Genomic DNA, 25560 nt, shown 5'->3' on the forward strand with positions numbered 1-25560 from the left:
AGTAGAGACGGAGTTTCACCGTGTTAGCCAGGATGGTCTCGATCTCCTGACCTTGTGATCCGCCCGCCTCAGCTTCCCGAAGTGCTCGGATTACAGGCATGAGCCACCGCGCCCGGCCGCCCATTTTTTAATGGGGTTGTTTTTTGCTTGTTGATTTGTGTAAGCGTCCTATAGATGCTGGATATTAGGCCTTTGTCAGATGCATAGTTTGCAGACATTTTCTCCCATTCTGTAGGGTGTCTGTTTCCTCCGTTGGCAGTTTCTTCTGCTGTGCAGAAGCTCTTCAGTTTAATTAGGTATCACTTGTCTATTTTTGTTTTTGTTGCAATTGCTTTTGAGGACTTAGCCAGCGTTCTTTGCCAACGCCAACGTCAAGAAGACGTTGTCTTCCAGGATGTTTATAGTTTGACGTCTTGCATTTGAGTCTTTAATCCATCTAGAGTTGATTTTCGTCTATGCGGAAGGGTAAGAGTCCAGTTTCCTTCTTCTGCCTGTGACTGAGCTGCTTATCCCAGCACCATCTATCGGACAGGGAGTCCTTTCCCCGCGGCTTGTTTTCGTTGGTCTTGTCAAAGACCAGACGGGTGTATGTGTGCAGCTTCATGTCTGAGTTTTCTATTCTGTTCTATATGATAATGAAACCAAATCAATGTCTCTGCTCAGACCCCTTCTGACAAGGTCTGTGGCGCCCACCATGGCGTTAGGGCCACAGCCTCCTGCCCCATGTGCCAGGCCCGGCTCTGCCCAGCTCCCTGCAGCTGCGCCAGTGTGTGCTGTGACTCGTGCTCCTGGTTTGTCATCTGCCTCTCAGTAGACACCACGGCCTTCAAGCTTTCTCCGCTCCGTGACCAGCAGCTGGGACGGGACCAGCAGTGCATGCGGCTCTGGATTCATGTTTGTTGAATGACTGACTGAACGGAGGCTCCCTTACAGAAGTGAACGGCGCGGCCCTCCCTGAGTTCCGGCCTGGCTCTGGATACCAAGGAGCAAGGTGGTCAGGGGTCAGGGGCTGGAGTGGGGAGATTGCCTGGGAGGGGGCTGGAGGGTGTGGTGGAACTGCAGGTTCTCTCCTTGACATGCCTGTGGGGGAGCCTTTCCCGGCCCTCTCTCCGCTGGTTTTCACCCTTTCTCCGGTGCAGCCACACTGGGCATCCCACCCCAGGGATCCAGGAAGGGGGCGTGTCGGCCGAGTGCGAGCCCGTTTCTGAACACCCTGTGAAGTTGGTGAGAATTCAGGTGCCTATCGGCCGGGCTCCACCTGTGCACCAGGTGTGGCCGCCTCACTGTGACTTCAAAGGTCCCCGGGGAGGAAGGAGGCTCCCAGCTGCACACAGGTGAGTCAGTCCCATTGTTCCGTGTGTCTGAAAAATCAATCGGGTCCAAAGTAAAAATATTTATTTAATGAGCAGAAATGTATGGCCGATCGGTTTTTAAAGGATATTGCTTCCTGCTCCTTGATACTGAAAAGGGGCGTTAGAAGAAATTCATTTGCAGGGATTGAGTTCTGGAAATGGCCATTCTAGGTGAAATAAGGACAGAAAATAGCACAGCACCCGCCAAAGACAGCTCATTCTCTTCCTTGGGGTGCTGGGGGACACGGGCGCCCCTCGGGGGCAGGAGGATCCCAGCGGGAGGACACTGGGCACTGCGTGAAGTCTCCCCTGGGAGCCCCAGTGAGGGGCAGGTGATGGCCCCGAGTGTCCCTGGGTCTCCCAAACGAACGTCTGGGCTTCTCTGGGAGGAGGACTCCACCCTGCAGAAGAGAAGGGTCTGGGTCAGAACCCAGTGAGTCCGGGGCTCCCTCCGCCTCCTTTGCTCCCTGTGAGATGGGCACGGAGAATGAGTCCCTCCGTGGACGTGGACGCCTGGTGGTTCTCGGCCGAGATCGCACCCTCGTGGCACCTGCCGGGGACCGCCCAGCTCCTGCAGCTGCGGTCTCTGGAGAGCACCGCCGGGATCCCCACGGCTCGAGAACCCGCGGTGCGTTTTGTAGGGTCAGCATTTGCGTACTGGGTCTGCTGCACTCCCTTCCTCGCGCGGCTCCCCGTTCAGCTCCCTGCAGGCGTCGGGACCTTGCTGCGCGGCTCCTCTTCCAAAACCCACAAGGTTCTGAGTTCCTGGGGCTTTGTCCCCCCAGTCTGTGGCCGCCGCAGGGCCTCCTCCTGGACCAGCCCGAAGGGCACATGGGGATGGCGCCTCAGGGCTCCGGTAGCGAAGGCCACACAGAAGTCCCGAGGACCCTGGCAGCGGCCGTCTCCTGCGTCTTGGTCCCTGAGGACCCTGGGCCTTCCTGGCAGTGGAGGCTGGTGTCTCTCACTCTCTCCAGGTGCAGGCCAGCGCTCAGCTAAATGCCTTCAGAGCTCCGGCTGAGATGTGCAGCACCCGCCACCGTCAGTCTTCGTGTGTTGGGGCGTGATGGGGATGGTGTCTCAGTCCTATGTTCTCGTGCTGCTGTGTTTGGGATGTGTCAGTTTCCCATGACTGCTGGAACAAGCTACCCCAGCCTTAGGGGCTCAGAACAACACGCAGGACTCTCAGGCTTCTGGAACACGGCCCCCACTCCCTCCCGAGGCTCTGGGCCAGGATCCTCCCGTCGCCTCCAGCTTCTGCTGTATCGCTCCATGGCCGGCTCCTCTGTGCCTCTTCTCTCTGTGTCTCTCTTCTGTCTCTTAGAAGGACATTGGTGAATGCATTTAGACCCCCAGGCCCCACCCCCCGATAACCCAGGAAAAGCACCTCTTAAGATCCCTATGTTTATCACAGCTTTTGCCTCAGAGGTGACATTCGAAGCGCTGGGGTTTTGCACAGATTTTGGGGGAGGTCTTAATCAGCTCAGGTGGCCATAGCAGAAAACCACACACGGGCAACCCGAGCAGCAGACATAGGTTTGTTGAGCAGCAGACACAGGAAGCTCCCACCACTCTGGGGTGGAAGCCGGAGATCCTGGCACCAGCTGACTGGCCTCCTAGTGAGGGCCCTTCCTGGTTTCCCGGTGCGACAGAGAAAGGGGAGGGCAGCCCTCTCCTATGAGGGCACTGATCCCACTGGGAGGACCCCACTCCACACACCGCAGCACTGGGGTTGGGGTTCCACCCGTGACTCCTGCAGGAGCACAAACGTGCAGCCAATAGACCACATGCCTCTGGGCAGCAAAGGTCCCCTGTCACCTGCACTGCATTCTCCCGGTGCTGCCTCTGAGGACAAGGCTGGCTCCAGCGGGCTCAGTGCTGACTACCAGGATGCAGGAGGCCTGCCCGCTCGCCATAGCTGCGAAGCCGGCTGATTACATTTCAGGCTTTTGTTTATTCCCCATCCCAACCCGCTCCTTCATCCACACAGACTGCTCGGACCTGGACTCAGGCCAGGCTGGACACCAGGCAGACGGAGGGACGTCCCCAGCAGCCAGCTCCCTCTGTCCGAGCAGACGGAGGGACGTCCCCAGCAGCCAGCTCCCTGTGTCCAAACAGACGGAGGGACGTCCCTAGCAGCCAGCTCCCTCTGTCTGAGCAGATGGAGGGACGTCCCCAGCAGCCGGCTCCCTCTGTCCTAGCCCTGGGAAGGTGGGGTCCTCCAGAGCTCCCCTCCGCAGCCCCAGCCACTCCCATGCTCCAGCTCCTGCCCCCTCCCGGGGCTCTATCTCCCCACAGAGAAAGGGGGTCCCTCCGCTGGGCAGGCACAGCCTCCTTCCAGGCCTTGTTACGGGCACCTGCACACGTGCCTGTGCCACCTAAGCTGTGCCCGCGCCACCTAAGCTCTGCCCGCCACCTCGGCAGATGCCAGGGTCCACAGGAAGGCATTGGGTGCAACAGTCACTCAGCTGTTGTGTTTTCTTTCTCTTAGCCACAGTCTAGTCCTAGCAGCAGTGACCTTGGTTTGGAGCCCGGGTTGGGGACCCCAGTGATGCCAATTTTCTTTGCCCTCATCATCCCAAGGCGGCTGCTGCAGTTTCAGACATCACAACTTTGTTCAGCGCAAAGGAGAAGGGGGACAGGGTATGTGCCACTTACACGTTTCTTCTTCTGGAAAATCTAAACTTTACCTGAAAATGCCACCGTAGCCTCATGCTTGCTTCTCACCAACCCGAGCTGTAAGAGATGGCTCCATCCTCTACACCAGAAATGGGCAAGGCCCAAGAGGGCTGGGAACTGCCAGTCCCCTTGAGGGCCTTCTTATTTTTAATTTTTAGGGATGAGAAAACTGGAGTTCGGAGATGGGCTTGCTCACGGCCTCACAGCCAGGGAGCCTGCTCACCCCAGTGTGTGCCCAGCCAGAAACCTGCGTCTGGGCCCCCAGAGGCTGGGCTCCTCACAGTGGGGACCCACCATGTCCACTGCCTGCAGGAACCGACAGAGAGGCTGTGATGCTGAGCCCCGGCCTCATGCAACAAAGCTTTGCCCGACGGAATGCACCCAGCGGCAGTGGAGAGCAGTGCTGGATCCTGCGGGGTTGAGGCGGTGGAGCTTGGTCAGCATGGGGTGCAGGGGCAGGAGGGGGGACGTGGCCAGGGGCCAGGGGCCCGGGAGCAGTCAGGGCTGGTCGGCTGACCAGAGGCTCAAGGAGAAGGTGAGCTTTGAGTGATGGTCACTGGGCCATATGGGGTGGGGCAGCTCTGGCTCTGAGAGAACTCCTGCTTGGAGGAGGCCTTGGGCTTCCTGAGGCTGGTGGCCCCCAGGCCACACTCTGCCCTGGCCCTAAGGGACTCTGAGCTCTGGGCTCCCCGAAGCCTCAGAGATGAGGAGCAAGCAGCTGCAGGTCCCCAAGCCATAGTGGGGGAAGCCTGGGACTTTGCAGGGGATGCCAGGTTATATCTGATGCTGGCCCCTGGTCCTGATCAGCCTGCTTTTAACAGCAGATGGCGGAAAGAGAGGCAGAGGTGGTGTACTAGGCTGTTCTTGCATTGCTATAAAGAAAACCTGAGACTGGGTAATTTATAAAGAAAAGAGGGTTAATTGGCTCATGGTTTTGTAGGCCGTACATGAAGTGTAGTGCCAGGATCTGCTTCTGATGAGGCCTCAGGAAGCTTCCAGTTGTGGTGGAAGGTAAAGGGGGAGCAGATACATGACACTTTAAGAGGGGGGCAAGTCAGAGGGAGGAGGCACCTCACATTGTGAGAGGAGAGCAAGTCAGAGGGAGGAGGCACCTCACATTGTGAGAGGAGAGCAAGTCAGAGGGGGAGGCGCCTCACATTGTGAGAGGAGAGCAAGCCAGAGGGGGGAGGCGCCTCACATTGTGAGAGGAGAGCAAGCCAGAGGGGGGAGGCGCCTCACATTGTGAGAGGAGAGCAAGCCAGAGCGGGGAGGCGCCTCACATTGTGAGAGGAGAGCAAGCCAGAGGGGGGAGGTGCCTCACATTGTGAGAGGAGAGCAAGTCAGAGGGGGGAGGCGCTTCACATTGTGAGAGGAGAGCAAGCCAGAGGGGGGAGGCGCCTCACATTGTGAGAGGCGGGCTGTGAGAGAGGGGCAAGTCAGAGGGGGAGGCACCTCACATTGTGAGAGGGGGGCTGTGAGAGGGGGGCAAGTCAGAAGGGGGAGGCGCCTCACACTTTTTTTTTTTTTAATTGAGATGGAGTCTCACTCTGTCGCCCAGGCTGGAGTGCAGTGGCGTAATCTCAGCTCACTGCAACCTCTGTCTCCCAGGTTCAAGCAATTCTCCTGCCTCAGCCTCCCAAGCAGCTGGGATAACAGGTGCGCACCACCACACCCAGCTAATTATTTTTGTGTTTTTAGTAGAGACAGGGTTTCACCATGTTGGCCAGGCTGGTCTTGAACTCCTGACCTCAAGTGATCCACCCTCCTCAGTCACCCAAAGTGCTGGGATTACAGGTGTGAGCCACTGCGCCCAGCCACCACACACTTTTAAACTACCAGATCTACCAGAGTGAGAACTCACTTATCACCAACAGGATGACCCACGCCATTCAGGAAGGACCCACTCCTGTGATCCAAACACCTCCTACCAGCCCCCACCTCCAGCACTGGTGATTACATTTCAACATGAGATCTGTGGGGACAAACATCTAAACCATATCGAGTGGGCTCAGGAGGCAGCAGCCCTGGAAGATGCCGAGTGCCTGGGAGGACAGAGGAAGATGCCGGAGTTCACGGGTGCCATGTGCAGGTGCAGCTCCTGCCAGGCGGCTGAAGATGGGGCTCCAGGTGGTGGCAGTGCCCCAGCCCCACCAGTCCTTCCTGGGGAGAGGGTCACGGCTCAGTGGCTGAAGGGCTGGGGGGCTTGTCTGAAAGGAGTGAATGCCTGCCCATCAGGCACTTTCGGAAAAAGCTGGAAACCAAGATTTCCCTGAGAAGTCCTGGGCTTTCTGGTGTTGGGAACTATAGGAAGCAGCCGGCTTCTGCTTCCCCTCCAGGGTCCAGGAGAGAATTTGTTTTGGACAAACCTTCTAGGCCACATGCTTGGAGCACCTCTGACCTCACCCAGTGCCATGCCCCCCAGCTGAGGCCCGGCCCCTGCATGTGTTCAGGGATGTGAGGTCAGGGAGTGGTTCAGGGATGTGAGGCCTAGCACTGGTCCGCAGGCCTCTGGGAGCCCTCTGGGCCCCTTGCAGAGCGGGGCAGCACTTGGCTGAGGACTGCGAGGGCTGAGCTGTCCTGACCCAGTCCTGGGATAGCAGAGCCGCCCACCCTGCCTGGGGGCTCCTGGGTGTCTCCTGCAGCCACGCCACTTGTAGCTGGGTTCTGTCCTGGGACAGCAGAGACACCCAGCCTGTCTCAGGTCTCCAGGGCGTCTCCTGCAGCCACGCCACTTGTAGCTGGGCTCTGTGCTTGTTGTCAGTGCAGCCCCAGCAGCCCAGAGCGGTTCACAAGCTCCCAGACCGATTTACCTGCTCCAGTGAAACTCCTATGAGGGCACTGAAACTTCCCATTATTACAGGGCTCCGGCCCACAGCCATGGGGATGCCCCTTCCCACACCAGCTCCTGCAACTGGAAGGCTGTGGGCCACTCACTCTGAAGCCTCCCCTTTCCAGACACAAGGGCAGGAGTCAAGGGCAGTGGCAACATCCCCCAGAGATGCCGATGGACGGTGTTTCAACCTAAATCGGACAGCCGCACTCCCTCCCTGGCCACACAGCAGGACAGAGACCAGGACACAGCGGCCCACCCGCTGCCCTCACACTCCCCTCCTCCACGGTGTGAACTAAACCGCACACGTGGCCTGTTACTCGGACAAGGTGGGAAGGTGTGGCCCCACCCCCTCCTAAGACATTACGATGCGGAGAACCCCCAAGCCCACCCTCAACTGTGTTCACTGGAAACAGCCCAGCAAGGGCTACGTGTGCCTTCCGGTTTCACATTTGGGAAGTGGGTAAAATGCAGTATTGACAGTTCTCAAATATTGGTGTTGATCTTAACTGCTAGAGATACCGTGAGGGAAAAGAGCGCTTTTGTTCAACGTTTATGAATGGATAAAGGAGGAACTGAAACCAGCAAAGGGGCGGCTGGCCCTGGACCAGACGCGGCTTCGCCGAGGAGCTGTGGGCAGGGTGGGCCGGCACCTCCTTTCCTCTCGAGAAGGATGTGGAGAGCAGGTGGCTCGTGCCACCTGCCTCCCTGGCCCTCGTCCATGCCTCTGCACTGACCGCTGGGCTCCTGCCGCCCGGGGATGTGGGGAAAGGCCTTGGAGTGGGATGGAGGTCCGCGTGTGGGTGTGTGGCAGGTACCGGTGGATTGAGGTCCATGTGTGGGTGTGAACCTGGGTGTGAGACTGTGTGTGGGTGGGTGTGTACGTGAGTGTGCATGTGCACGTACACCTGTGTATGTATGCGTGTGAGGTGTGTGAACTGTGAGTGTGCTGTGGCTGTGAGCGTGTGCACACGTGAACTGAGCGTGACAGTGCGAATGTGTGTGCCGCGAATTCCACTGGCCACATGAATGCAGGCGAGGCCGCTCCGCTAGGCTGTGGATTTCCAGCATGGCCACGCTGGTTGCCTGTGTTGTCTTGTTGACACAGGATGGAGAAAGAACGATGCAGGATGCATCTCTGAGCCTGGCTCAGGCACCCAGAGGGAGCTGGGTTTGGGAGCAGCTGCTCTGCGTAGCCCTGGCTTGGATGCTGCGAGCCAGGTGGGCCTGGGGTGAGCGCTCGTCCCTGGGGTGGGTGGAGGCCCCCATTTCCCTCTCAAGTCCCCTCACTGTACATCACAGCCTCCTCCCACCCCCGCTCTGTTTAGAGAAAGCCCAGAGGCCCCTCAGGCTGAACCTCCAGCCCTCTTCTCTGACCATGTGGGTCTCCCTGTTTCCTTCCGCTGGCCTGGTCTCTGTAGGGCTCACTGAGCCTGCAGTCTGGGACCCACAGGCTTGAGGATTGAGGCTCGGGGCCTGGGAGCCTCCCTGGGATGTTCTAGAAAGCTATGGATGGGGCACCTGTCAGGGAGACAGCACACGGAGAGCCTCTCCCACCTGGGTCCTACCATAGCGGCCTGGGCCTGTGGGCTTAAAGAGCCGCTCCGGAATTTAACTGGGCCTGAGGGCTGGTGCCCTGTGAGGAACCCGGGATAGAACCTGGGGACAGAGGCCTCCATTAGTCCTTGGGAGCGGCAGGTAGCCCATGGGGTCACTGTGATCCCGGCACATTGTGGGAGCGTGCGCTGGGATGGGGAGGGGTCACTGTGAGCACGGTGCGTCGTGGGAGCGTGCGCTGGGATGGGGAGGGGTCATCGTGATGATGGCACAGCACACTCTCCTGTGGTCTAGGTTTAGGGATGCCAGTGAGACCCGCTGAAGCGTTGGGGCCCTACCCGAGGTGAGGCGTGCCCAGGTCTGGGGACTCCTGTCTTGGGGCCCCTCCCAGGAGAACCACCCCCCTCCTCTGGCAGGAAGCCCCCAAAGCTGTGGAGGAGCCCTGGGCCCACAGACAGCATCCCTGCTGCTGGGGACCCCAGGCCTGTGCGGGTGCCGCTGCCATGGGGCTGATGGGGCCCAGCCCAGCAGCCCCTGCCTTTGCTTTCCCGGCTTCTCTGCGGCTCTGTGCTTTTGCTGCCCCATTCCAGGCCGGAAGGCTCCCGCGCCTCCATGGATCTTCATGATTTGGCCAACCAGAGTGAGCACCGTGAGGAAGTGGAGACAGACACAACTTTCAGCAGCAGAAGACAGGATAATAAAGTTGGGTTTGGTTTATGATCTAACGTGACCATTAAAAGTGTTTAATAAACAACGTTAAAGACTACTTAGTGGCAGATGCATCCGGCAATGCTTAGCATAGCCTCATGACTGTCAATACGCACAGGCTTGAAAAACACCTGCAGGATACATGTGGGCATGTTAGTGTGGGTTATCTCAGCAGGGCGGCATATCGAATCTCGGTGCCCTTCTGTAGTGTCTATATTTTCTACAGTGAAGCTGGGATACTTTGGTGAGCAGAGGCATTGTTTTCAAAGTTCCCATTGGTACTTCCATCACATCCCCGTGTGGTTCTGTCCTGGACCGGCTGCCCACTGAGGTCCCACTCGCCCCTACCCTGCCCTGTCTGGCCAGCTGGGTACCTGCCCAGGAGGAAGAGGCTCAGTGTTTGGGGCCTGTGTTATGCCCTGAAAAGCCACTGCTGTTGGGTGAGGGCCCATGAGGCCTTCAGTTTGCCATCGTCATGTGCTTCTGAAGAGCCAGGATGCTGTCCACTGTTTGTCTCCTGGCGGGACAGAATTCCACTCAGTGCATATCAGGGGCAGTGATGGGGCTGGGGGTGTGAGGGCTCAGCTGTGCCCTGAACTCCTTCACAGTCTTGCAGGAGGGGTCATGGAGCCATATCTGGGTTTGCAATTTTTGGAAAGTTACGTGACGATCTGCACTCAGGAATGCTGAGTGTTCGGCAGGCCCCATGAACAGTGATCAAATGTGACGCTGTGTGTCCCACAGCCTAAGGGCTGTGGCAGAGACCAGGAGGGCCATCAGCTCCCACAGCTTTCGAGTCCACCTCAGGGCTCCTCCTTGCTGACCTCCCTGGGTTGTCAGTGGAGACAGCCACCCTCCCACAGAGCACCTGCCTGAAATGGGCCAGGCCGCCCCTGTGCCCTGGCTCTTGCTGCACATGCTGAGGTCAGCACGGAGGCGCCCTCGGGCACCAGCATGCCCTCGGGTTTGCAGCTTGTCAAATATCCCATGAAGGCAACCTGACCAAATGTGCTCTAACACCACTGGACCAATGGAACGTCTTGGGCTGAACAGATGCAGCCTTGCATCCACCGCCTGCCACCACCCTCTGTGTACACCCCCTGCACACACCTCTGCACACACCCCCCCTGCACACTGTTGCACATACCCCCTGCACACAGCCTGTGTACACTCCCTGCACAGATCCCCTGCACACAACTCCCTCACACATCCTCTGCACAAACCCTGTGTATACCCCCTGCACACACCTCTACACATACCTTCACACACCATGTATACCTCCTGCACACACCTCTGCACACACCTCCTGCACACACCTTGTGTACACTCCCTGCACACTGTTGCACACACCCCCTGCACATAGCCTCTGCACACAGCCTGTGTACACTCCCTGCACAGATCCCCTGCACACACCTCCCACACACATCCTCTGCACAAACCCTGTGTATACCTCCTGCACACACATCTACACACACCTCCTGCACACACCTTGTGTACACCCCCTGCACACTGTTGCACACACCTCCTGCACACACCTCCTGCACACACTGTTGCACACACCCCCACACATAGCCCCTACACACACCTCTGCACATACTGTTGCACACACCCCCACACATAGCTCCTGCACACACCTCCTGCACACACCTCCTGCACACACTGTTGCACACACCCCCACACATAGACCCTGCACACACCTCCTGCACACACTGTTGCACACACCCCTTGCACATACACCCTGTATATACCCCCTGCATACTCCTTATGTACAGCACTGCACATACTCCCTGCAGAGACCCTGTGTGCATCCTCTGCACACACCCCTTCTGTATACTGTCTGCACACACCCCCTACATGTACACCCTCTGCACACTCCTCCTGCATACACCCCATGTACACCTTCTGCACACACTCCCTGAACACATTCTGAGTACACCTCCTGCACACCCCGTGTACAACCTCTGCACACACCCCCTACACACTCCCCTACACACTCCCCTACACCATCCACACACACTCCCTGCACACAGCCCCTGCACACATTCCCCATGTACACCCTCTGTCTGTGTATACCCTCGTCTACTACCACCATACGTACCCCCCACCACTACCCTGCCTTGTCTATCACCCCCCAGGCTGTGACATACCAGGGATGTTGCCAACGAGCTGGTCTAATCTGGGGTGAGGGTTTCTGGGTGCCCCTAGACACCAGGAGAAAGGCGGGGAGGGGACACCCCTGGGGGTCTGGATTCACTCCACCAGGCGCTGGGCCACAGTGGTACGGTGACACAGTAGATGTCTTGAGCAGGATTAAAGTCTTCCCAATAAACAGGCTGAACTCTGTCTTCCTTGAAAGCTCTGTAGAAGGACCTCACAAGGATAAACACAGCGAGACCCTCCAGGGCGCGGTCAGCCACGAGCCACAGTGCTGGGCCTGTGACATCTCTGGAGGTTCTGGGGTGGAGAAGGACCGGCCGTGGGGAGTGACTGGCTGGGGAGAAGCTCAGCTCCCGCCCACCTCTGGGAGGCCCGGGGCTGGACGGGAGGTGCAGCAGACAAGGCTCCGGGCGGGTGCTGGGGTGTCTGGAGGGGTCCCCGCGGGGGGGTCGGGTTGGGTGGGGAGTCTAGGTGAGTCGGGGGTCCCCGGGGGCGCTGGGTTCAGGGTGGGAGCGGAGTGTGGATGGGGCAGGGTCCCCATGCCCACCACCAGCCGCGATTCCACCGCGCCTACTCGGGGTTTCCCCGGGAGGACACCGCGTGTGTCAAGGGCCGGGGCCTAGAAGGCGGCCGCGCCCAGGGAAGCCTTGACAGGGAGCTATCTGGGGCGGGGGCTGGGGTCGCGTGGCCAGTACCTGGGAGAACCGCCATTCAGGAGAACCCCCCGCCAGGCTCTTGGTTCCGCCCACGCAGTCCCGCCCCCTCCCCCAGCCACGCCCCTCGCCCCGCCGCGCAGGCCCCGCCCCGTCCCGCCAGGCTCTCGGTTCTGCCGACGCAGGTCCCGCCCCTCTCGTAGCCTCGCCCCGCCCGCCGCGCAGGCGCCGTCCGAGGGCTCCGTTTGAAACATGGCGCGGGCTGGCCCTCGGCTGGTGCTGAGCGAGGAGGCGGTTCGGGCGAAGAGCGGCTTAGGGCCTCACCGCGACCTGGGTGCGCCGGAGGGCGGGCGGGGGTGCAAGCGTGAGGTGGCGGGGGGGTGGGTGCCGAGCTTCCCGGGGCGGCGGCGGACCGTGGGCAGGCGGGACCCGTCTACGCAGGCGCCGCGGGCGTCCGGAACGGTCGCGGGCGAGCGGGGCGCGCGTGTCCAGGTGAGCGACCCACCCCCCGTGCCCAGGTGCGGCCCCTGCCCGCGTTCGGGTCCCGGCGTCCCGGCCCCTGCCTGTCTATCGGGTCACTGGTTCCGTGACTGGGGGTTACATCCGCTGAGAAGAGGGAGCCGGCCTTGCTGTCCAGGAGCGCAGCCCGCCCTCCCGCTGGGGATCACCTCCCTGGTTCTCCTGGGCCCACTCTGTGGTGATTGTTGCGCTCGGCCTTCTTGAGGATGTTGGTGGCCGGTTTCCTTCTTTTTGGCTTATTTTTGTCTGGTTTTGGCGTCAAGGTGAAGCCGAGCTCATAAACTGCTGAGAAGTGTTGCCTTCTCTTATATTTAGAAGAGGTTCTGTAGAGTGTGTGCTCATTGTTTGAATGTTTCCTGGAATTTTCCAGTGAAACCATATGGACATGTCAATTTCTGTTTTTGAAGCTTTTAAATGACAAATTCTGTATCTCTGGTTGTTAGAGAACCGTTCATATTAGTTCACCGCGAGTCTTGGCTGTGTGGGGTTTTGTGGCATTGGCTTATTTGAGCTAACTTGTGGAGTGTGTGTGTTGAGTTGTTTCTGGTGTTCTGTTGTTAGCCTGTTAATGTCTGTGTGTGGTCTGCAGGTGTTACTGGACCAACAGGTTCAGTCAGGTGCTGTGGGGGCCACAGGCCAATACACTGAGACAGTGGGGTTTGCAGCAGAGAAAGAGTTTAAGGCTGGCAGGGGCCCAGCAGGGAGGTGGAAGGAGGCCTCAATCCATCTCCCCAAGGAGATCTGAGCGGTTTTTTTTTTTTAGACGGAGTCTCACTCTGTCGTCCAGGTTGGAGTGCAGTGGCACAATCTCAGCTCACTGCAACCTCCACCTCCCAGGTTCAAGTGATTCACTCAGCCTCCTGAGTAGCTGGGATTACAAGCACGCGCCACCATGCCCGGCTAATTTTTTATATTTTTAGTAGAGACGGGGTTTCACCATGTTGGCCAGGCTGGTCTTGAACTCCTGATCTCAGGTGATCCACCTGCCTTGGCCTCCCAAAGTGCTGGGATTACAGGCATGAGCCACCTACACCCAGCCTGAGCTGGGGGTTTTAGAGGAACAGGACTGTGAGGAGCTGGAAGATTGGTGTTGTCAGTTGGTGGAGGTAAGGGCCATGGAATTATCAGGGTGTGGAAACTGCATTCTTTGGTGAATCCGCTTGCGGGGCCCTTTAGACCAGCTGGCATCAGTCCCCAGGTCCTGAAAGAATATCTCAAATGGAAAACTTAACGGTTTATAATGTCCAGGTTATTATCTGTAGAGTGGTTAAGGGGAACTGTAACCTCGTGACAAAATCCAAGTGATCCTGAGGCAGTAGGCACCACAGGGCTCTGAGGAAGCAGGTGAGAGGGCAGCTGACCTCGGGACATGCCGAGTCCTCCCTTCTTCCCTGATTAGTGCTACAAGGTTTACAGGGATATCCCTTTTCTGTTCCTGATGTTGATAATCTGTGTATTCTTTCTTTTTTAGTCTTGCTAGAGGCTTGTGAATGTTATTGATAGTTTCAAAGAACCGACTTTGGGTTTGATTTTTCTCCAGTGTTTTTCTAGTTTCAAATTTCATTGATTTCTGCTTTTTTTTATTTCCTTCTTTCTGCTTGCTTTGCATTTATTTTATACTTTTCTAAATCCTTGAGGCAAAACTGTAGATTATTGATTTGAGACTTTCCTATTTTCTATTATAAACAGTGCCACAAGTTTCCCTGTAAGCACTGCTTTAGCTGTATCCACAAATTTTGTTATGTTGTATTTTAATTTTCATCCAGTTCAGCGTATTTTAAGAATTTCCCTCGATACTTCCTGTTTGACCTGTGAATTTTTTTTTTTTTTTTTTTTTTGAGGTGGAGTCTCGCTCTGTCACCCAGGCTGGAGTGCAGTGACGCAATCTTGGCTCATTGAAAGCTCTGCCTCCTGGGTTCATGCCATTCTCCTGCCTCAGCCTCCCGAGTAGCTGGAACTCCTGACCTCATGATCCGCCCACCTCGGCCTCCCAAAGTGCTGGGATTACAGGCATGATCCACCGCGCCCGGCCTGACCTGTGGATTTTTAAGGAGTATGTTTTTAACGTTCCATGTGTGGATATTTTCCTGTTATTTTTCTGTGTGATTCCATTATGGCCAGAACATAATCTGTATGATTTTAATTCTTTTAAATTTGTCAGGGTTTGTTTTATGATCCAGCATCTGGTCTATGTTGTTGAATGTTCCAGGTGCACTTGAGTGTGTGTGTATTCTGTTGTTGAGTGGAGTGTTATGTAAATACATAAATATCAATTAGATCCTGTTGGTTGGTGATATTGTTCAGTTCTTCTGTATCCTTGCTGATTTTCTGTCTAGTGACTCTATTAATGACTGAGAGAGGGGTCTGGAACCCTTAACTGTAATTGTGGATTTGTCTGTTTTTTTTTTCACTTTGTATGTTTTGAAGCTCTGTTTGTTGAATTACATAGCTAGGATTTTTATACCTTCTTAGTGGACTGACCCTTTTAGTATATGTAGTCTTCCTCTTTTTTTTTTTTTTTTTTGAGACAGAGTTTCCTTCTTGTCCCCCAGGCTGGAGTGCAGTGGCACGATCTTGGGTCACTGCAACCTCTGCCTCCCGGGTTCACATGATTCCTCTGCTTCAGCTTCCCGAGTAGCTGGGATTACAGGCGCCTGCCATCACGCCTGCCTAATTTTTGTATTTTTAGTAGAGACGGGGTTTCACCATGTTGGCCAGGCTAGTCTCGAACTCCTGACCTCAGGTGATCTCTGCTGGGCTCCCAAAGTGCTGGGATTACAAGTGTGAGCCACGGTGCCTGGGCCTTGTTCCTCTTTTTTCCTGGTAATTTTCTTTGTTGAGACATCTGTCTTATTTGATATTACTGTTGTTACGGTAGCTTCTTTTGATTGGTTTTTGCATGGCGTATCTTTTCCTATCCATTGCTTTGAACTTTTAACCTACCTGTATCTTTATATTTGAAATTAGTTTCCTGGTTCATTATTTTTATTCACTCTGCTAATCTCTGTCTTGTAGTAGTGTTTTAGGCCATTTACATTTAATCTAATTGTTAAATATTAGAACTTAAGTGTGCCATTTTATTGTTTTTTGATTGTTTCCTGTGTTTTTTCTTCTGTTTCCCTTTTCCTGCCTGCTGTGACTTACTCGAATATTTTTAGTATCTCATTTTGATTTATCTGTTATGTTTTGGTGTATATCTCCTTGTATGGTTTTCATAGTGGTGGCTATACAAATTACAATGTATTTATGTAATTCAACACAGTTTACTTGTACAGGTATTTTACTACTTCTAAGTGAAATATAGAAACTTTATCACCATTTAGGTCTCTATCCTCTCCCCTTTACAATTTAGTTGTCTTAAGTATTTCCTCTGCATACCTTGAGAACCGTATTAATATTATGATTTTTTTTAAATACCTAGCCTTTTCAGTAACTCAGGAGGAAACATATTTATCTGCATGTTTATCTGTTCTGTTATTTTTTCTTCATTCCACGATGCTCTAGGTTTCTTTCGTTTTTCCTTTATATTTGAAAAAATTTTTTCAGCAGTTGTCTTAGGGCAGGTCTGCTTGTGACAGATTCTCTTAGTTTTTCTCTACGGTTTTACAGTTTTCATCTGTCATCTCCATTTTGCTATTAAACTGCTCTTGTGATTTTTTGTTATTGTATTTTTCTTTGAAATTTCTATTTGTTTCTTCTTTATATCTCCTGTTTCTTTGCTAAGACTAGTTTTTCCTTTGTCTCAGGTGTTTGTAATTGCTCATTGAAGTATTTTTTATGACAGTCACTTTAAAATCCTTGTTAGACCTAAGTTCTGTGTTCTCTCTTGGTGGTATCTGTTGATTGACTGTGTTTTCTCATTCAAATTGCCATTTTTCTGGTTCTTGGTCATTTTTTATCATATTGTGGACATGCTGGGTATGATGTCATGAGACTCTGCTTCCTGTTTAAATCCCCTTACTTGAGAAGACTCCTCACTCGAGCCTGCTGGGTGCCACCTTGTTGCCGGGACAGTCATGGAGCTCCTGCCTCACCCACGGCCTCTGGCAGACCCTACTGGCTGGGAGAGTGAAGGGCACCACCTCGTTCTAGCCAGGCCGGGACAGCAGTCAGGATCCATTCTCACACCCCGGTGCTGGCTGCTGCGCAAGGCCAGGTGGACGAGGGGTGTGTGTGTGTGTGTGTGTATGTGTGTGTGTGTGTGCGCGCGAGTGGGGGTTTGCTTGCAGGAGGGCTGATGATGTGAAGAGAGTCTGTCCTGCAAGGCCCCTCCTGGTGCCAAGTGGACGAGGGGTGTGTGCGTGTGTGTATGTGTTGTTGTGTGTGTGGGTGGGGGTTTGCTTGCAGGAGGGCTGATGATGTGAACAGTGTGTGTGGTTGCAGGAGGGCTGATGATGTACAGAGAGTCTGTCCTGCCAGGCCCCTCCTGGTCCTTTGGCCATCGAGAGCAGGCTTACGGTTTTTGGTCTTTTTGTGTTTCTGGGCTGCCGACTTCTGTGGCACCCAGAGTGGGATGTGTAGTAAATAAGCATAAACAAAACCCCAGAGTCAAGCCAGGGACTCAGCGCTGGGTTCTCTCTCGAGTGCCGAGGCCCCTGGCTGGTTGGCTTCTGTTCCTTTCAGTCCCCCAATGCTTGTTCCGTATATTTTCCTCCAGGGCAGTGGGTCTAATATGCGGGAGGAGCAGGTTGAAATGTGTCCTCTCCATGTTGCCTGGAACTGGAAGAGCTCAAACCAAATTTTAAACTTAATCAGAACATATTCTGGTTGGGTGTGGTGGCTCATGCCTGTAGTCTTGGGAGGCCGAGGTGGATGGATCACCTGAGGTCAGGAGTTCGAGACCAGCCTGGCCAACATGGTCAGGAAACCACAAGACTGTCACGGAAACCCTTTTCTTTCAGTAACATGAGCCAAAGGTCACTGCACCTTGTCCCCTCCTGACCCTGTCCCGGTGGCAGGGTGTGGGGGACAATGAACTGCTTGTCTGTGTGCCTCCAAGTGGGGCAAAACCAGGCAGCATCCTGCTGTTTAGCTGCACCTGAGACGATGCCTGAGGGCTACCTGAGGAAACAGGGAAACGTGGGGTTTTAGCCGGATGTGGTGGCGTGTCCCTGTAATCCCAGCTACTCAGGAGACTGAGGCGGGAGAATCACTTGAACCTAGGAGGTGGAGGTTGCAGTGAGCCGAGATCGCACCACGGTACTCCAGCATGGGCAACAGAGTAAGACTCCATCTGAAAACAAAAACAAAAAAACCAAAACATATTCTAAAACATAAATGTTCCCAGGAAAGTATTGATGTATTCGGATCTAAACTGCCTTTTTGATTACGGAAACTTTCATCTTGTAATTAATGTTGATGTAGTGACTGCTTATGGGGTGCGTGGAGCTTGCACAGCCCGACCACAGTTGTAACAGGAGGACAGCAGACAGGTTACCCGACGAGTGGGTTTCAGATGGTGATGGCTGCAAGGGGTGACAGAATTGAGCAGCCAGAAGTGGAGGCGGGAGATGAAGTAGAGGGGTGTTCCTGGGGAGAGACGGTTTTGGAGGGAGAGGCAGTAAAGGTGGGAAGAAGCGTGTGGGCTTGGAGGTATTGTAGAGATAAACATAAGCCGAAACTTCAGGTACGTTCCTTGCTCGTCAGTGCTGATATTCCAACTCCAAAGGAGTTGCACTGAGTTCTAGGTGCCTCTTTCAGATTACGAGGATACATATCTCTCTGAGAAAAGCTGAAAATACAGAAATGTGTAAGAGGGAAAATAAAGGGATTTATTCCACAATAGGACACATGTGTTAAAGTTTGTCTTTCAATCTTTTTACATATACTGTTAGAGGAAGAAATGTTTTGAATGACCCTTGTCAGGCACAGTGAGGAAGGCTTTATTCAGAACCATTGAGGTGGGCCTGGGGCCACTGCGCTGGGATTTTGCAGTGGGGGAGAGAGATGGAGCTCAACTCCAAGTACAGCAGGGGCCGGGGGGAGTTTATAGCCTAGGGTCAGGGTGGGGGCAGTGGATGGAAAATGACTGAGAGGACACATGAGGAGTAAGGGGATTTGGGCTAAACCAACTGAACAGGATTATTGCGAAAGAGAGGCCAGGGTGAGCAGACACCACCTATGGGATCTGGGGATGAGGAACCTGAGCAGATACTGAGGGTGGGGGTTTTGGCCGCACTAAACTGGACTTTACAAGGAAGGGCACAGATGGCCGAGGAGAAGATTCAGGAGCCTGAGTAAAGTTGAATTAAACCAAGAATCTGTGTCAGTTTCTACTCCATATCCAACACCAAGAACTTGACCGTTATTATAATTGTTTTCAAAATAAAAGATTAAAATCTTACAATTTTTCTATTCTTAGCTGAGCTTCAGTCATTGTCTATTCCTGGAACTTACCAAGAGAAGATCACCCACCTGGGACATTCTCTGATGAGTTTAACAGGTCTGAAATCTTTGGATCTCTCGCGCAACTCCTTGGTTAGTCTGGAGGTAAGTTTTAGGTCTCTTTCTTAAAATTTATTGCTATCAACATCAGTGGAAAGTCCATTCACAGCAGAAACGGAGTCTGTTTTGTAACCCTCTGCTTACATCTGTATACGGTACACTTTGTGTTGCGTATTTTTGTGTTTACCGTGGGCTACATTTCATACACATCACGTTACGTTGTGTTGTCGCCCTCTGATGACGATGATTATATCTTTAAAGGAAATGAAATGAGACCCCAGAGACTTACTGAGTGGCAGTGCAGTGGGCCTGGGGCTGCCTCCTGGGCTCCTGGCAGGGTCACCCTGGAGAGAGATGCCTAGGTGGTGGTGAGGGGAGCTGTGCACAACTACCATGGCCTGATTGGCCCTGACAGAACCGTGGGATGCGCCTGCCCTGAGCCCGATGCCTGAGCATTATGGAGGCTGCGTCTGCATGGCCTGATTGGCCCGGACAGAACCGTGGGATGCGCCTGCCCTGAGCCTGGTGCCTGAGCATTATGGAGGCCACGTCTGACACCAGCTCGGGAGTCTGCTCCAAGTCAGATGCGGACCTAGCCCAGGCTACACCCAGTGCTGCCTCATCTTTCCCCGTTCCCAGGCCTCAGCTTTCTCATCTGTGAAGGGGGGGCTGATGGTTCTCACCCTGTAGGGCGGCGTGTGGATTAAATGAAATTGTGCGTGCACATCACTCAGCTTGCTGCACGCTGAGGCCTCGGTAGATATTAGCTGTGCTTAGTTGCGTCACATGTGGGTTCCATAAACGACCGTCTCACCGCGTGGGGCCCAGAGAACTTCACAGATGAGAACGTTTCATTTTTCTACTTTTCCTGGTAATGACATGGAGTTATTGCAAATAAGTTTATACAGTTGGTTGGTCAGTGTGTGTTGCTGGCTTATTTCACTGTGTATTTCTTGTTTAAAGTGTGAATGAATTCACTGTGTTTTCTGTTGACAGGGCATTCAGTACCTGACTGCATTGGAGAGTCTCAATCTCTACTACAACTGCATCTCCTCGTTGGCAGAAGTGTTTCGGCTCCACGCCTTAACCGAGCTCGTGGATGTGGACTTCCGGCTGAACCCCGTGGTGAAGGTTGAGCCTGACTACCGCCTTTTTGTTGTGCACCTGCTCCCCAAGCTCCAGCAGCTGGGTAGGCATCAGGCAGGGCCACGCTCATGCTTTTGTCCCCGTGGGGTATGGGAGTCGGGGAGTCGTAGTGGGTGTCTGTGTGCTCAACGTCACATGCTTGATTCCTTCTGGAACGGGGAGTTGGTTTTCTACGCTGGTGGCTTGAGTTCCTGCAGACACACAGCTCGAGAGGCCCTGTGTCTGCACAGGACAGGGCTGGAAGTTGAGCACCCTGGGAGGGCGCAGGGCTGGGGCCGTGGGAGCACAGCCCCGGACCAGGCTGCTACGTCCTGTTCTGGCTCTCCGCGTCATGGCTGTTGGACTTGGGCACGTTCCTGAACATCTCCTGTCCTGTTTCCTCGCATAGCCCCCAGGTATCATCTCAGGTGCAGCTAAACAGCAGGATGCTGCCTGGTTTTGCCCCACTTGGAAGCACACAGGACAAGCAGCTCATTGTCCCCCACACCCCACCACTGGGACAGGGTTGGGAGGGGATGTGCAGTGACCTTTGGATCATGCTCCTGAAAGAAAAGGCTTTCCATGACAGTCTTGTAGGCAGAACTTCCAGGGCCCCCACAGCGATGCCCAGTAGGGAGGGTCCCTGGGTTGGGGCAGCCGCAGGTCACCTTCCCATCTGCCTCCTGCCTCCCCGGAGGCATTGTTGCTGTTGCTGTTGCTGTGAGCACCTGGTGGTGTCTCTGCTGACCCTACCCCGAGTCACAGATCCAGGAGAGAAAGCTGGGGCCTCAGCCCAGGGGCACACTGACCAGAGTCCATGGGGAAGAAGAGGGTGCAGGGTCTCTTACCTCAGTCCTCCTGTGTGAAGTGGGGGGATAAGAATGCTGTGTTGACATGTCGTGGTGGGGAGACCTGAGTTAATATCTGTAAGCTCCCAGACTGCCCGGCATGGCCAGGGGCCTATAAACGTTCCCTGGTTGCTTCTGTTGTTAGGGTCAGACCTACCATGCACCGCTGTTCGAAAGCTGCCCCTCCTTCTGAACCTAGGACCTTATCAAAAACAAAAGAATCACAGAATCCCAACTATCTTGTTAGAACAAAAGACCAACAGAATCACAGAGGACAGAGCACTTTCCCCCACTGCGAGTGCCCTGAACAGGCTGTTTTCCACGGCTGTGGGGAGCATTCAGGTTCTCTTAGAGAACTGAGATTTGTATGTCAATTTCAAGTAAACAGCAGCTAAAGCACGTTGGTGGGTGATGTGCCTGGCCCCTGGGTACTGCCCGTTGTGGGCGTCGGGACTGAGGGCCAGCTGGGGTTTTGCCACCCACCAGATGAACACCCGGCAGCCCTCACCCTGTCAGCCCCATGAAGTTCGTGTGACGTCAGCAAAGCTGCACACCAGAGGTGGGAAAACAGGTGGAGGAGCACCTAAGCGCCTCAGCGAGTAGACCGGGAAGGCTGTCTGGGGCCATCGTGGAGCCATGCGGGGCCGTGTCACCTCATCACAGGGAGGACTGGCCTGCGGTATCTTGATGGTGATGTGATCACACATGTGTTTGTATATGGAATTCTCACATTTTATTTTATTTTTGAGACATAGTCTCGCTTCATCGCCCAGGCTGGAGTGCAGTGGCGTGATCTTAGCTCACTGCAACCTCCGCCTCCCGGGTTCAAGCAATACTCCTGCCGCAGCCTCCCAAGTAGCTGAGATTACAGGTGCGTGCCACTGTGCCCTGCTAATTTGTGTCTTTTTAGTAGAGATAGGGTTTTGCCATGTTGGCCAGGCTGGTTTCGAACTCCTGGCCTCAAGTCATCTGCCCACTCTGGCCTCCCAAAGTGCTGGGAATACAGGCGTGGGCCACTGAGCCTGGCCAAATTCTAACATTTTAAACTGCACTGCTTTGCTACTTGGAGAAGTTTCTGGAGATGCTGGAAAGAGCTGTCAGCATGCAGCACACACACCCTCTGTTTGGTGACAGTGTAGGTTAGTGGTATGGATTGAAATCTGTTTAAAGGAGTCCTCTTGGAAGAATGCCCCAGTCTGCCACAGTTTGACCATTTTTCAGTAACTAACGATCAAAACAATTTTTCTCTGACCTTCTAAAAGTGACTTGAGGAGCTGACAGTATCCCTGGGTCCTGGTGGACTTTGCTCTTGCAGGAGCTCAGCTCCCCTGGGCACTGGGGGCTGGCAGTTGGCAGTGGCAGCATCGGATGGGAGGGCAGCAACTGGGGTGGCATTTGCTGCTCTGCAAGGGCTGGGAGGCACTCAGGGCGTCTGTGTGGCCAAAGTGAGACCTAGCTCCCAGCATCACTGACAGGGAAGACCCTGGCTCACCCACTCATGTGGCAAGTGCTGGGCCCTGGACAGGCCCTGCGGCTGGGCTTCCAGAGCCTGAGCAGTGTGGATAGAGCTCTGTGCTGCAGCTCTTGGCAGCGAGGAGCGCCTCCTTGGGAGCATGCGGCGTGCATGCGTGGTGCTGGCCACCTGAGAGCCTGGCTGCTGTGCCTGACACTCTTCCCCCTGGGATGGGGCCGTGGACATTAACAATGGACCCCCCCAAGACACAGTGTCTGTTTCCAAACCCAATTAGGATTTCGCTGTTTAATTATAAGAGGTTTGGGAGGAATAGGCGCCTGTTTTATAGTGTTTATTTGGCCAATTAACCAAGTAACTCATAAACAGTTGAGTTTGGCTGTTTCAGGAGCTACAGTCCTTATTCTAGGTAATTTTTGGAGTCTTCAGTTCTAAATCATTGCCTCTGTAATCCAAGTTTTAGATTCAGAATCTTAGTGTTTCTGCAGAGAAGGAGCGCAGCCGTCTCCCCTCTTAGTGTTTCTGTAGAGAAGGAGCGCGGCCGTCTCCCTCTTAGTGTTTCTGCAGAGAAGGAGCGCGACCGTCTCCCTCTTAGTGTTTCTGCAGAGAGTTTCTGCAGAGAAGGAGCGCAGCCGTCTCCCTCTTAGTGTTTCTGCAGAGAAGGAGCGCGACCGTCTCCCCTCTTAGTGTTTCTACAGAGAAGGAGCACAACCGTCTCCCCGCATGTGAGAGATGCTTCCTGCAGTGGCGCTGGCAGTCAGAGGCGCTGCGGGAACCACGGAGGTGCGGGGCCCCGGGACGGCCTGCTGCCCTGCGTGGTGCCTCCTGGAGTGGGCTCGGTCCTTGGCTCCGCGTGGGTCATGGAAAGGCCCCGGTGGTGGAGGAGGCAGATAGCAAGGGCCTGCGTGTGGGATGGAGGCGGCGTCTGGAGAGACCTTGCCAGCAGGAGAGGGTGGGCTTGGGGTGAAGGTGAGTTTGCAGTTGGCTTCGGACATGCTGCATTAGAATTTACACAACAGTCCAGAGAAATGTTCTTGGAGTACGGGATTTGGAACTGACTCAGAAGGGAAGCGAGTCTTGGTGGGCAGAGAGCTATGCGTCGTTAGTGCGGGGCTGGTGAAGGCCGGGGTGGAAAGGTTGCGGGAGGGTGGGATTGGGTGCAGGTCTCCTGGCGCACGTGTCTCCTGAGGGTGCCCTGTGTGCTGGGTGGAGAGTGCCCCAGGTTGCAGAGGCCTCTGACTCGGCATCTTTGTGTGATTATCAGAACTCCTCCGTTTTTCTGCTTTGAACATTATATTATGCTATTACTCACTCATTTCTTACAGTGATTCTGTAGTTTTTGGGGCGTGCTGTAGGCTAAATGGAGGCAGCGTGGGAACTTGTCACAGAATTCACATTACAAATGGGGGTTAAGATGTGTTGTAAGTTCCAAAGCGCCAAGGTTGAAGGCCTGGGGACCTTCTTATCTTCAGGGATTTACATGAGGAAGCTCCAGGAGTTCTTGGGTGGGAGCCTGGTGGCCCCAGGTACGCACGTCCCTGAGGCCCAGCCCTAAGCACAGACCCAAAAGGCCTCCTGGAAGTTGCAGCCTCTCGGGCCGGGCAGGCTCCCTCCGTGGAGGCTTCTCTGGGTTACCTGAGTGTGACTTGAGAATCCCACCCCGCACCCGGTGTGCACTTTAGAGAAAGGGTGTGCGTGTGTGTGTGTGAGCCTCATCTGTGTGCGGCTGCTCCCGTGCGCAGCAGTGAGCTCTGAGGGACAGGCGGCCTCAGCACCACGCTGGGCATCGCCGGGAAGCTGTGGGACCACCAGAGCCCAGCATTCCGGTGCTAGGTTAGTGGGAGCAGGGCTGGCCCCGAGGGGATGGACACCCTGCCCCGTGTAGATGCCCCAGGGTGGATGCAGCCGCCCGCCGCTTGCCACCTGCACAGTCTTGTGTGGCCTTTTCTTCTAGACGATCGCCCCGTGAGAGCAAGCGAGCGGAAGGCTTCCCGACTGCATTTTGCATCAGAGGACTCACTCGACTCCAAAGAGAGCGTCCCAGCTTCTTTGAAAGAGGGCAGGTATGAACGGAAGTGCTACGGACACCCAGAGTGTTTCTGACTGGCCTGCTGTCAGGAGGATTAACCGAACGTCATTCACTGTGTGCCGGTCACTCTCCAGGGGCGGACACCAGGAGGGAGGAAGGGCAGAGCCTGCCTGGCGGGGACTCCGTGGACAGTGGGACGGGGCCTCTCTCCTGTTCTCCACATTCCTAGGAGTTATTTTTAATATCGAAACTGTTGATTAAGGTAATATGTGTAAAATCAACTCAGCAAAGGGCTTGTCCTGTCCCTTTCCCGGGGCTGGCAGCTCTCACGTCTGTGGCTGCCTCTGCTTCCAGCTCTCGCTTCAGCTACTTTCTTAGCTGCCCATCCAGCCAAATCCCACTTCTGGCCGTGAGCACATTCAGCAGGACCCGTCTTCCTGGATCGAGGAGGACTTCTTCCTCCCCCACCCTTTCTGTGACGGTGCCGGGATGCGCCTTCCTGTCTCCCTCCCCATGGCTGGTGCTGGTGAGGCCACCTTCGGAGACCGTGGGCGTGTGTGTGAGCCGGGCCTGCTTCCCCTTGCAGCCCCAGCCCTGCTGCCTGCATGTCTATGTTCGGTTGATAGTATCTGCGTGTATCCCAAAACCCTAGAGAGACTTCGTGCTTTGTTTATGGGTTGATTCAAGGGGCAGAAATCAGTGGACTCTGTCTGCATAGCCGTGGAAAGTGGTCGGATTGTACACTTTCTTGAGTACCATTTGTCTTGTCTGAGGCTTTTAATCAAATCATTTTTTTTCTTGTGTGAGATGCCTCCACTCATTTTAAACTCCTAGTGCAGGGATCAGTCAGCTTTTTTGTGTGAATGTTTTGGGCCCTGGAGGCTGCGTGACCTCTGTCCCATCTTCTTAGCTCTGCCTTTGCAGGGCGGAGGCAGCCATTGGCAGCACGGAAGCCAGGATGGTGTGCCCGTAAGATGCCCACGCACAGCGCAGGCAGGGGCCCGATTTGAGCCGTTTTTTGCTGACTTCTCTTCCAGTGTCTCCGAAATGGCTCTGCATCCCTGGGATCGCCTCTTCCCTCAGATACCTGTCCTGCAGCCCCCATCACCCCATTTCAAACCAGACTACTTGCTGCGTGGACAGCAGCACTCTGGTACCTGCACCTTCTGCTCATGTGAGCCGTGCGGGAGA

At 54.8% G+C, this 25560-nt stretch overlaps 1 protein-coding gene and 2 long non-coding RNA genes across 16 annotated transcripts in view, besides 5 other annotated features; 2 read left to right on the forward strand and 1 right to left on the reverse strand.

Moving 5' to 3' along the window:
- The first annotated feature begins 614 nt into the window (after positions 1-614).
- Positions 615-7434, forward strand: LOC105374608 (uncharacterized). Of its 4 annotated transcripts, XR_007058672.1 has the most exons (8): positions 615-991; positions 1140-1334; positions 3841-3992; positions 4187-4464; positions 4969-5039; positions 5637-5684; positions 5903-6117; positions 6889-7434. It is a non-coding gene; the product is annotated as an uncharacterized LOC105374608 (long non-coding RNA). The 4 variants fall into 4 exon arrangements; XR_007058674.1 differs by lacking the exon at positions 615-991 and having other exon boundaries at positions 1091-1334; positions 6984-7434; XR_007058673.1 differs by lacking the exons at positions 615-991; positions 5637-5684 and having other exon boundaries at positions 1091-1334.
- On the reverse strand, positions 1993-12034 carry CEP72-DT (CEP72 divergent transcript). Its single transcript, NR_103444.1, has 3 exons — positions 11976-12034; positions 11271-11577; positions 1993-2668 (listed from the first exon to the last, which is right to left on the reverse strand). It is a non-coding gene; the product is annotated as a CEP72 divergent transcript (long non-coding RNA).
- Positions 2585-3085: an enhancer, noted in NCBI's record as "H3K4me1 hESC enhancer chr5:602876-603376 (GRCh37/hg19 assembly coordinates)". NCBI's record gives its function as "activates a minimal SCP1, AML or CMV promoter by ChIP-STARR-seq in naive H9 embryonic stem cells {active_cell/tissue: H9 hESC(naive)}" and the evidence as "EXISTENCE:reporter gene assay evidence [ECO:0000049][PMID:30033119]".
- Positions 3086-3586: an enhancer, noted in NCBI's record as "H3K4me1 hESC enhancer chr5:603377-603877 (GRCh37/hg19 assembly coordinates)". NCBI's record gives its function as "activates a minimal SCP1, AML or CMV promoter by ChIP-STARR-seq in naive H9 embryonic stem cells {active_cell/tissue: H9 hESC(naive)}" and the evidence as "EXISTENCE:reporter gene assay evidence [ECO:0000049][PMID:30033119]".
- Positions 11087-12017: an enhancer, noted in NCBI's record as "H3K27ac-H3K4me1 hESC enhancer chr5:611378-612308 (GRCh37/hg19 assembly coordinates)". NCBI's record gives its function as "activates a minimal SCP1, AML or CMV promoter by ChIP-STARR-seq in primed H9 embryonic stem cells {active_cell/tissue: H9 hESC(primed)}" and the evidence as "EXISTENCE:reporter gene assay evidence [ECO:0000049][PMID:30033119]".
- Positions 12018-12947: an enhancer, noted in NCBI's record as "H3K27ac-H3K4me1 hESC enhancer chr5:612309-613238 (GRCh37/hg19 assembly coordinates)". NCBI's record gives its function as "activates a minimal SCP1, AML or CMV promoter by ChIP-STARR-seq in primed H9 embryonic stem cells {active_cell/tissue: H9 hESC(primed)}" and the evidence as "EXISTENCE:reporter gene assay evidence [ECO:0000049][PMID:30033119]".
- Positions 12164-25560, forward strand: part of CEP72 (centrosomal protein 72) — a 64277-nt gene continuing 50880 nt past the window's right edge. For 6 of the 11 annotated variants that reach the window (XM_047417363.1, XM_047417364.1, XM_047417365.1 and 3 more), the window contains exons 1-4: positions 12164-12267; positions 18814-18941; positions 19893-20085; positions 24295-24403. In XM_047417363.1, coding sequence (XP_047273319.1) covers positions 12186-12267; positions 18814-18941; positions 19893-20085; positions 24295-24403 — 512 coding nt within the window. In that variant the 5' untranslated portion in view covers positions 12164-12185. Of the gene's footprint in view, positions 12426-14376; positions 14506-17652; positions 17674-18813; positions 18942-19892; positions 20086-24294; positions 24404-25560 lie in introns of those variants that run through there. The other 5 variants (NR_164122.1, XM_005248322.4, XM_011514064.3 and 2 more) reach the window with 5 other exon arrangements.
- Positions 18400-19599: an enhancer, noted in NCBI's record as "CDK7 strongly-dependent group 2 enhancer chr5:618691-619890 (GRCh37/hg19 assembly coordinates)". NCBI's record gives its function as "activates an origin of replication core promoter dependent on BRD2, BRD4, P300/CBP, MED14 and CDK7 cofactors, with strong dependence on CDK7, by STARR-seq in HCT116 cells {active_cell/tissue: HCT116}" and the evidence as "EXISTENCE:reporter gene assay evidence [ECO:0000049][PMID:35650434]".

The sequence above is a fragment of the Homo sapiens genome, chromosome 5, assembly GCF_000001405.40.
Source record: "Homo sapiens chromosome 5, GRCh38.p14 Primary Assembly".
NCBI lineage: Eukaryota > Metazoa > Chordata > Mammalia > Primates > Hominidae > Homo > Homo sapiens.